At 36.4% G+C, this 12054-nt stretch overlaps 1 annotated feature.

The window, feature by feature from the left end:
* Positions 3138–3358: a silencer, noted in NCBI's record as "fragment chr13:91977821-91978041 (GRCh37/hg19 assembly coordinates)". NCBI's record gives its function as "represses an EF-1alpha promoter that drives an FKBP-Casp9 reporter gene in an ReSE screen in HepG2 liver carcinoma cells {active_cell/tissue: HepG2}" and the evidence as "EXISTENCE:reporter gene assay evidence [ECO:0000049][PMID:32094911]".

Below are 12054 nucleotides of genomic sequence, written 5' to 3' on the forward strand. Positions count from 1 at the left end.
GTCACTTGAACCTGTTGAGACTTTGTATAAAATTCTGTCACTTCTCTGAGCCTCTGCTTCATCTTTTGTGAATCAGTGATAGTAACCTCTATTTTACTAAGTCACTGTGAGAATTAAAACTGCTGTTATATGAAAGGATATTTCTTGACATGAATATATTAGAGGAAATAGCTATATATATTTGCATAATTAACTAGACATGAGAATGAGTGTATTAGACCATTTTCATGCTGCTGATAAAGACATACCAGAGACTGGGTAATTTATAAATAAAAGGAGGTTTAATAGACTCACAGTTCCACATGGCTGGGACAGCCTCGCAATTATGGCAGAAGGCAGAAGACACGTCTCACATGGCGGCAGACAAGAGACAATGAGAGCCAAGCAAAGGGAAAACCATCACATCTCATGAGACTTATTCTGTAACAAGAGAACAGTATGAGGGAAACTGCCCCGATGATTCAATTTTCTCCCACCGGGTCCCTCCCACAACATGTGGGAATTGTGAGAGCTACAATTCAAGACAAGATTTGGGTGGGCACACAGCCAAACCATATCAATGTGTTATAAACATTAGAAAGTATGAAGCAAGATACTTATTACCTGCACATGATATGATTGTATATCTGAATTGGAAGTATATAGAAGTCTTAGGAAACAGGCTTTCTTATCCTGGCCTTGATGAAAGAATTGGGTTTCACATTTTTCCTTGGCCAGAGACCATGAACAGTTACAGTCCAGAAGAAGAGGAACTCTCAGAGATGCAGGTAAATATGTGCATCCACAGATTTTAAAAGAGTTGAGTAAATTACAGTAGTTCCCGACTTCCCTTTGCAGTTTAGGGGAAAAAAAAATAAGGGAGGATGGCTCCTGCCTGTCTCTTTTACACCAGAATAATTGTTCCAGGGGCCATGACCCAATAGCTTTCATCTGGCTTCCCCTGGCCGCTGTGCACTATCACTTGGGAAAGGACTCATTTTCAGGTTTGTCAGAGACAACACTGCTCATTAAGCACTATCAGGGTTTTCTGGAATCTTAATGATATAAAGGTAAAGGTGGTGGCAAGAAGAACATGTGAGCCATAACGGCAGCCACAACAACCACATCCTTTGCTAAAGAAGCAGCAACATGTAGCGGACAGGAGTGCAGACTCTTCAGCCACACTGCCTTAGTGTGAATCTCAGCTCCACCACTTCTCAACTGTATAACCTCAGGAAAGTTAATTAATCTCTCTCAGTTTCCTTGTCTATAAAATATGGACTGTAACAATACTAAGACCTGCTTCATATCATTTTTTTGAGAATTAAATGAGGTAATAGTTGCAAAGCACCTACAAAAATGTAAGCACTATGTGAATATTTGATAAATAATTTTTCTTAAAGAGTTACTCTTCTAAGAAAGCTATGCAATGATTGAGTGAATGAAATGCTTAAGCGTCTCTTATCTAATTGCCAAGGTCATTTTTGTTTTGTTTTGGTATTTGCATTAGCTTTTTTATTCCTAGGAGAACTATAAAAAAATTGTAAGTATGCTTTGAACTATGAGAAAGCTAAGCCTAACCTCGGTCCAGTCTGGTTTTTCTACTGATTTCTCAAGTTTCTTATCTCAGAATAGAAATCATTGATATGTGTTATATTTGTTATAATTATTTTACATATGAGTGATGTAATTGATAATCTTTATCAATAGTGCCCACAGCCAACTGAGGATGGATGCGGTTCCACAGAGATGCCTCTTCATTTAACTTCATTCTGTTCAACTTCATACTGAACAGAGAATTACCTTTTGATCCTCTCCCTCCTCCTCACTTGTACCTAGGTCACATAGTTGTCTATCATATTGATAGTAGCTATACTCATTCTTTTTTTTTTTTTTTTTTTTTGAGACAGAGTCTCACTCTGTCACCCAGGCTGGAGTGCAGTGGCACCTCCCGGGTTCAAGTGATTCTCTTGCCTCAGCCTCCAGAGTAGCTTAAGTTTACAGGCGCTCACCACCATGCCCGGCTAATTTTTTTTTTTTTTTTTTTTTATGTATTTTTAGTAGAGACGGGGTTTCACCATTTGGCCAGGCTGGTCTCCAACTCCTGACCTCAGGTGATCTAGCTGCCTCGGCCTTCCAAAATGCTGGGATTACAGGCGTGAGCCACTGCACCCAGCCACTATGCTCATTCTTAAAGCAAAAGCCTCATCATGCCTCTTCCTCCACGAGCAACCAAAGCTGTACAAAGCTCCCTGCATATTTCTGTTTTGTAGATTGCAGAACAAGGGTTAATCAAACTTTTCCAAGAGTCTACCTGTTTGGATGATCCCCATGTGCCTATATCCATTTTTTCCCCCATAGGATTCCCTGTAAATAAGAAAGATAAAACAGGTTATATACTGTTCCAAGAGAGCTGTTAGCTCCCTTCTCTCTACTATTGGTTGGAATAAGTATCAATCAAAAGAAAATAAAAAAGAAAAACTTCAACATAGGATATATGGAGACTCCAAAACTTTTTTTTGCCTATTAAAGATTTTTCTAAGTTTTCGTTATTTTAATTTCAAAAAAATAGTCAATTTCAACACAAAACAAGAAAATGGACATGTTTAAGAATAAATACAGTCCTTAACATGAAATACATTTAGGCTTTTAAAATAACTGCATTGTTTTTATTTTCCTCATTTCATCATGGGTTAGGAAACACTGTATCATCTGTTCAGAGACCAATGTGGGAGACACTGCTGTGGACCACGTTATTGATAAGACAATTTAAACACAGACAGCCTCACATCTCCTGAACACTCCCATCTTCATCCGTTCTGCCAGAGATACAAGTCTTACAAAGCGACCTCTATTTAAAAAAAAAAATAGTACAAGGAATCAGTATGCTGTTTTAAAGACCCAAATTAATCTAACTCTTTAGAAGACATCAGATATTGCCAACAAACTTACTAAATGCTATGGTAATCACTGTTTTATTGCATGCTTGAAAATAGGTCTCATAAAATTTTGACATGTAAATTAAGAAACAAGGAAAATAGTATGCATTCATACACAAACAAATACAAAATGGCTAACTTGCATTCTAATTGTGTTAATGTTACATATTTTAAATACATTGACATATTACCGAAACACATTTGTGTGCATTTTATTCTGAAATCTCTGATGCAGGACCAAGGCCTGTTCCTCAAGTACAGGTTTATTGATTAGAATTGTTTCAATTAGCTCATATCATATCTTTCACATACACACCATACTTCTTTTTCCTTATGTATTTATTTATTTATTTTTTGAGACAGGGTCTCATGCTGTCACCCAGGCTGCAGTGCAGTGGTGCAATCTCCACTCACTGCAGCCTCAACTTTCCAAGCTCAATCGATCCTCCCTCCTCAGCCTCCTGAGAAGCTGGGACCATATGCACATGCAGCCATGCCCAGCTAATTTTTGTAGAGACAATATCTCCCTATGTTGCCCAGGCTGGTCTCAAACTCCTGGGCTCAAGCAGATGGCCTGACTCAGCTTCCCAAAGTTCTGGAACTATAGGCATGAGCCACCTTTCCCAGCCTACACACCATACTTCTAATGTATCTCCTGAGATTTCTAATATTGGCTTCCTTAAAAGTGAAAAAATAAAAATAAAACTTTAGCAAAATAATGAGAATCTTTATGAGTTTTTGTTTTATTTTCCTCAAAGTCTTCTATAGTTTTTACACACACCTAATTTAACAGCATTTAAAAAAATCGTATTGTCTTTAGAGAGTCTTTCTAAAACATTCAACTCAATTTTCCCAGAAAAAAAAATTTTCTTCCAACTCTTATTGCATAAGTTTATGTAACATTTAATGCAATTACATAATTCCAATAACAACTAAATTAAACCGGTTTGAGAGCAAACATAACGGACATTTGGCAAGACCCCAACTCTGATTGTGGGGAGCGGAAAGCTAATGCATACTGGAAGGAAGCCTACTAATTCTAGTGTATACTCTGTGGCCTTGGGTCCGGAAGTTTGCCGAGGAAAAAGAGGAGTATGATTAATCTAGTAAGTATAAGAAAACATGTTTAAGCTAACTATTTTCTCATTTAATTTAATTAACTATTAGAAAAGTTAATCGTGAAAACAATAGAAACATTTTAGCCTCGTCCTTCCTAAATGACACAGATAAAGTTATAACAATGATATTCTTTACAAACCACATAATTTTTTAAAAACAAAGGTATGAAACATCTTGGCTTAAACAAGAGATACTATAGGTCTAGGGCAGCAATATTAGAGCTGCCCTACTCCTTACTCAAGTATGCAAGCTAATCATAGGCAAACCATAAATTAAACTAACATTGTGTCTTCCGTTCCCCACACCCCCAATTCCTCTTTGGAAAATCATTATTTGTATTTTCCTTCTCTCTTACGACTTCTTTTAATTCCATAATAAATATTTTAGAGCTGTTTCCTGGCTGGTCAAGTGCCCTTAATTTGTGACCTCCAAAATTCTTCCTCCTCAAAGTTCTCCCACATCAAAACTTAACAATTTGCTGTTGTAGTTCTTCAGATTCTGTTTTATGCTTGGTTAAAGTAGTTAAAAAGCTAAATTAACATGAATATTTCAATGGGGTTAATACCATGAATGTGTAACATATGCTCATGAGTTACTGTGTTACCCTACCAACAGATGAATTTTTGTAGGAATCTTAAGGAGATAATCTCTCACCCAAAAAAAGCTGTGATTAATAGTAGGGATTTTAACAGATGCTGTGGAAGACTTAGGAGTTACAAGAGAATTTTCGATGACTGTACTTTTTAGCTCTCTTTAAAAATTAATACTACAGAAGCCAACTAATCATTCTAATCATTAAGGCTCTTAAAGTTTTTGCATCAAAGACATAAAACCATCTTTACCAAAGAAGCAGGGTAAATTTACAAGTTGCAACCAGAAGTCAAAAATATCTTTATTTTGATCCAGAAAGTTAGTCTCTGCATGCACGCACATGTATGTGTGCTCCTGTGTGTGGATGTATATTTTTGGCATGCTTGTTAAAGTATAAGTTTCCGATGGAAAAGGAGCATGCTATATATAATTTCCAGAGGAGTACAGATCTCATTTTAGGTCCTGCCAAAGAGGTTATTCTTAATAGAATGGCTGGAGTCACACCCTGATTAATAGGCATCTGGGTAACTATAACCCACAAGCCACTGACACCATGTTTCCCTCAAAAGTTAGAGTTTGTCTGAAACCCTTCCTTTCTTCACTCCCTACCCCAAACTCCAAAAATCAGAGGTAGGAAACCTTCAGTCCTAGGCCATGGCCGTTTAGAGCAAGCACAGTTAAATCTTTGTTATGTCGGAGATAATGTCTACATTAATGGAGAATGTACATATCTTATCCCATGTATTCAGTAATTTGCAAGCATTCCTGAAGCTTTCTGTTTTCTTCCTTTAGCTTTCAATTTTTGAGCTGCATTTTTAATCTAAGAAAAAAATGATTCTACAAATTTTGACTGAGACAATATCACGTTTATGGTATGTCATCATTACCTCTTTAAAGTGGATTGTTTTCAAAAGTTTTTTTCCATTGTTTAATTATCTTTAGAATTGCCTCCAGCTTCTTACTTTTCCAATTTATAAATATTTTTCATTTGTCCTTGTCCATCAGAAACTTACAATTTAACAAGCATGCCAAAAATATGCATATGAGTATATATAGACTTTCTGGATCAAAATAAAATCAAGGGGTTTTTTTTGGTAGTTTTAAATATAATATTTGAATCCATCCTGCTTGTTTGGTAGATAGTTTTGTGGTATGTCATCCATGCAAGGAATTAAAAGTCAGTCCTAGTAATTAGGCACCTACCAAAGTGTGCTTCTGAGCTATGTTACTTTCTAAGTTTTGAAGCCTTAGAGAAAGATTATATGTTTCCCTCAGTGTAAACCACTAAAGGGAATTATAAAATTGGTGTTTTCTAAAGCCTCTTTTAAAATGTATTGACACTGTGGTTGATGGCCTGCTTACTAATGGTTTGTAAGCAAGGTTTGCAAAGATAGCTGATTATATACACAGTTCATTTTAGAAGACTATTAAAGGCTTTTGATTGGTAAAAGTGCTATGTTTCTAAAAATACTTAATTAGGGGTCTATCAATACAAAAAGACAGTTAAAAGCCTTGTTAATTCAGATTTCTGCATCCTATCAGGGTTGTTCTTGTCTCTGATTGTTTCATTGAATAAATATATTAACCCTTGGAAAATCAGAGGCTCCAATAGAAATAACATACTGCGTAATTATGACAATTAACTGACATGTTTCCATTTTTCCATAGCTCGTTTAAGTAATAATAAATTAACATCTACCAGAAAAATATTAGAATCTTAGACATAGAGATTTTTCTTTCATGCACATGCATACACCACTTAAAATGAATTAACTTTAAGAAGATTTAACTTAAGTAACATTCAGAATTTTTGTTCTTTTTTTTTTTATCCTTTATGCCCTTATTTGGCAAAGAGAGGAGCTGATGTGAAGGGTAATAGGGAGACTGGAGTAGAAATCACTTTGAGTAAAATAAAGTTGGGATTATGAAAAAGAGGAGTCAATAAACCAGAATCTTTAGGTTGTGAAGAATCTAAAAAAGATGACTGCCTTATATTCTAGTTGAGAGAGGCAGCAATTAAACAATGGATAAAAACATGAAATTAAGTGGAATATTTTAAGATAAGTGCTTAAAAATTGTAGAACAAGGAGAAGGTTGGGGACATTTGCACTTTTAAATGTATTCTACAAAGAACATGGGAAAACGGGACTTGGCTGCAATTATTGGGGTAGAGGTGGGGTGGGGGGGTGTTAGATAGAGACAGGTCCTGGTAAAAGAACCTCAAGAGATTTTTGGATGAGACCACTATGCTGTTAAATAAATAAGGAAAGAAATTACTGTTCTCTGCTTTGGTCCTGCTTTCCCTTCACTCATCCACGGACAAACGCTGACATCTCTCTTAATCTCAGTTCTCTGTACAAACAATGCTGAAATGATAGAAAATCAGTGAAGATCCACTTTCGGTACATTTTTTTTTAATGTATAGACACATACAAAGAACCCCTGTATCCAGCATCATCTCACTGCAAGGTATTGTGCTGGCTGTTTTTCCTATATAATACTTACACACATGTACATCGTATGGATATTTCTCTTTGAAAACAAGCTGTCTATGTTATACACTTCTGTATCTTACTGAAATATTATTTGTTGAATGACATAAGATGTAAATGAATTCATTCATTCATTCATTCATTATTGAATATTAGATTTAGCCAAAGGAAAAAAGAAAACAAAAAAAAGTCCTATCATGCTCCAAAGGAAGACAACACCATATTCAATATAGAGCAAGTGTATAAGTTTAGAGGTAATTTTAAAGTTTGTTATTTACTCTCATAAATCTCAAACCAGGGAGAAAAGACTTTGTAAAAGAGTAAGTTTCTCTTCTCCTTTGTGCTAATTGCGTAACTAGATGCAAATGTATTTTGCTTCAAAAACACATAATTTGTTCAGTTCTGCATCTGCTGAATGTGTGCATATGTGTGGTTGGGTATGTAGACATGAGCCTATATGGAGAGATCTCTAGTACTTTGATGGTAGAATGGACATGCTTATGGTGAAAATATTGCTATAGCATCTTTGATTACAATTTATTCATAGAAAATGGGATATTGTGAAACTGATTCAATATATATATGATTTAGCATCTATTCAACAATAAAAAGCTACATGTTGTAATCTTACAATATATTTTAACTTTCCATTATTAATAATAATAACTAATATTTATTGAGTCTTTGTATATACCTTTATGACACTCAACCACTTACATATATTATCTTCTTTAATTCTTAGAAGTAATCAATGAAACACATATTAATAATCTTCTGCTTTTATTTTATTTTATTTATTTATTTATTTATTTATTTATTTATTTATTTATTTGCTTTTCGAGACAGAGTCTTGCTCTGTCACCCAAGCTGGAGTGTAATGGCGCAATCTGGGCTCACTGCAACCTCCGCCTCCCGGGTTCAGGAAATTCTCCTGCCTCAGCCTCCTGAGTAGCTGGGATTACAGGTGTGTGCCACCACACCTGGCTAATTTTTTTTGTATTTTTAGTGGATACAGGGTTTCACCCCGTTGGCCAGGCTGGTCTCGAACTCCTAACCCTGTGATCTACCTGCCTCAGCCTCCCAAAGTGCTGGGATAACAGGCGTGAGCCACCACACCCAGCCTGTTATGCTTTTTAAAAATGAGGAAATTGAGAGGTAGAAGGTTGTCCAGGATTATAGTAAGTAAAAGATCTAAAACCCCTACACTGATCTCTATGGCTCTAAATTTTATTCATCAAACATTGGACTATGTTGTGCCTTCCCTGCTTTCACAAAGAGCTATGGAAATGCCAGCTATTTTATGAACCAGATATTGTAAGATGCGCCCGAGACTTCAGGAGAAACAGAAAGAGATTACTTAATTTATGTTATATTCTCAATTTTCTATTATCTAGAAATGGCAATGTGAGGAAAATCCTTGTCTTTTACCAGTAATCAGAACAATCACAACTTTGCTATTCTTTGGATATCTGTTGGAACTGAAGAAAGTTAGATTTTTTGAAATGAGTACATTTTTATTATTTTTTCTAAAGGTTTACTGAAGGAGGGTTTGGTGTCTTGGAAATGTAAAGACTTAATTTTTCTTTAATATATTCATATGACAAATTTTGAATGACTAAGAATCCCATATAAAAGTAGTAATACCCTTCTACCTAGCTTGGCAGTTTTTAGATTTAAAAAACCACAAGATATTTCTGAAAAATGAAAATGAAAATGAAAAAGTATACAGAGTGTTTTGAATCTCTAAGTCTCTAATTCTAGCTTAGCTGACATTATTCGAATGTCATCTAAAATGTATCAAATGTAATAGTGTCTACCTGTAAAGTACTGCTAAAATGTATCATTTAATCTTGTCTGAGACCAGTAATAGAAGCTGGAGGGAATCCAGCCTCTAGGGTCAAAGAAGGAATAGCACAAATAGAGGGGAGTTTTATGAAAGGTGGCCCCTGACGTCTCAGCTTAGAGTCCAGTCACTCTTAGTTTCTTATAACACCTTTAGTCTCAACTTCACAAACCTGCTATTCCTTACTGATTTAGGACTGCCAGTGTTTAGTATACTCCCTGAAAAGGAAATATTTAAGAAACTCCTAGGTGGAACAGAATTTTACCTCTATATCGGTTTTTACCAGACACTGTTATGATTACTGGTGCTTTGCATTGACTTTTTTCATGCTGTCATCCTCACCTGATTTCCTCTGTTCTACAGGGGAGGGCAGGCCTTTTGGCAGGGGGGCAAGGTTGGAGGACTCTTCTCATCCTAATATCACCTTTGCGTTCCCCATGGCCCCAATTTGATGAACTAGATATAATTCACAGATAATGATTATTGATTTCTGTTTTCATGCATGCATATAATATGTGGTTATCACTACCCGTGTGTCAGCTTCTTCAATTAGATAATGCATCCACTTAGCTTCACAAACACATACACGTGAATGAATGGTTATATTAACACATCATTCAGTTGGTCAATGATTACAGTATAACCTGCTACAATTTTCTAAGACTGTGCAGTGTTCTAGTCAACTATGTTGATTGGAAATGCTCATTTCTATCCCATATCTACTTGGTCTTTTTTAAATTAGAAAAAAATTTTACGTAATTTATTTTTTATTGGCTCAGATATACATATTTTTTGGCTACAGGTGATAATTTGATACATTCATATAATCAGATCAGGCCACTTTGGGATATCCATCACCTTAAATATTTATATTTTCTTTACTCTAGGAGTGTTTGAATTAGTCCCCTGTATCTATTTTTGAAAGTACACTTGATTAATATTTTGTTTTGTTTTAAGATGAGGTCTTGCTTTGTTACCCAGGCTGGTCTCAAACTCCTGGCTTTAAGCCATTCTCCCACCTTGGTTTCTCAAAGTGCTGAGATTACAGGCATAAACCACCACATCTTGCCTTAGAATCCACTGATGTTAATTATAGTCACTCTACTCATCTATTGAGCACCAGGTCTACCAGGTCTTAGTTCTGCGAAGTGTACTTTTGTACCCATTAATGAAACTCTATTCATCCCCTCTTTTTTCTACCCTTCCTAGCTTCTGGTAACCACCAATCTGCTCTCTATCTTCATGAGATTCACTTTTTTTTTTTTTTTGAGATGGACTTTAGCTCTTGTTGCCCAGGCTGGAGTGCAATGGCACGACCTTGGCTCACCGCAACCTCCGCCTCCTGGGTTAAAGCGATTCTCCTGCCTCAGCCTCCTGAGTAGCTGGGATTACAGGCATGTGCCACCATGCCCGGCCAATTTTGTATTTTTAATAGAGATGGCCAATTTTGTATTTTTAATAGAGATGTTGGTCAGGCTGGTCTGGAACTCCTGACCTCAGGTGATCCACCTGCCTTGGCCTCCCAAAGTGCTGAGATTATAGGCATGAGCCACTGCACCCAGCCAGAGATTCACTTTTTTAGCTCCCACATATGTGTGAGAAGATGCAATGTTTGTCTATTGTACTTGGCTTATTTCACTTAACATAATGACCTCCAGTTCCATCCGTGTTGCTGCAAATGACAAGATTTTAATCTTATTTAGGGTTGAATAATATTCCATTGTGTATATTTACAACATTTTCTTAATCTGTTTATCCATTGATGGACACTTTGTTTAATTTCATATTTTGGCTATTGTGAATAGTGCTTGTATTAGTCCATTTTCACATTGCTATAAAGATACTTCCTGAGACCGGGTAATTTATAAACAAAAGAAGTTTAATTGATTCACATTTCCACATGGCTGTCGAGGCCTCAGGAAACTTCAATTACAGCAGAAGGCGAAGGGGAAGCAAGGCACCTTCTTCAAAAGCCAACAGGAGAGAGAGAGAGAGCAGAAGGGAAACTGACACTTTTAAACCATCAGATCTCATAAGAACTCATTCACTATCACAAGAACAGCATGGGGAAAACTACCTCTATAATCCAATCACCTCCCACCAGCTTCCTTCCTTGACATGTGGGGATTACAATTCGAGATGAAATTTGGGTGGGTACACAGAGACAAACCATATCAGTGCTATAATAAATATGGGAATGCAAATCTCTTTGATATATTGATGTCTTTTCTTTTTTTCTTTTCTTTTTTTTTTTTTAGACAGGGTTTCACTCTGTCTCCCAGGCTAGAGTGCAGTGGCATGAAAATGGTTCACTGCAGCCTCAAACTCTTGGGCTCAATTGATCCTCCTGCCTCAGCCTCCTGAGTAGCTAGGACTACAAGTGCATGCCACCACACCTAATTTTTGTATTTTGGGTAGAGATGGGGGTTTGCCATGTTGCCCAGGCTGGTCTTGAACTCGTGGGCTCATGCAATTCACCTGCCTCAGCCTCCCAAAGTGCTAGGATTGCAGGAATGAGCCACTGTGCCCAGCCTGATTTCCACCAACAGTGTATTTACATTTCCACCAACAGTGTATGAGGACTCCCCTTTCTCCACATCCTCACCAGCATCTGTTATTCCCTGACTTTCTGATAAAAGCCATTCTAATTGTGGTGAGATAATGTCTCATTGTGGTTTTTATTTGCATTTCTGTGATTAGTGATGTTGAGCATGTTTTGTATACCTGGGGGCCATTTCTTTGTCTTCTTTTGGTAAATGTCTATTCAAATCTTTTTCAAATGTCTTTTCAAATCTTTGCCTATTTTTTAATCAGATTATTTGTTTTTTTGCTATTGAGTTGTTTGAGCTCCTTATGTATTCTGGTCATTAATCCCCTGTCAGATGGATAGTTTGTAAATATTTTCTCTATTCTGTGGGTTGTCTTTTCACTTTTTTCATTATTTCCTTTTCTGTGTGAAGTTTTTTAGCTTAATGTATTCCCATTCATCTATTTTTGGCTTTGTAGTTTGTGCTTTTCAAGGTCTTAACACAAAAATTCTGGGTGTAGCCCAATGTCTTGTAGCATTTTTCCAATGTTTTCTTCTAGTAGT

Source organism: Homo sapiens, chromosome 13, assembly GCF_000001405.40.
Source record: "Homo sapiens chromosome 13, GRCh38.p14 Primary Assembly".
Classification (NCBI taxonomy): domain Eukaryota; kingdom Metazoa; phylum Chordata; class Mammalia; order Primates; family Hominidae; genus Homo; species Homo sapiens.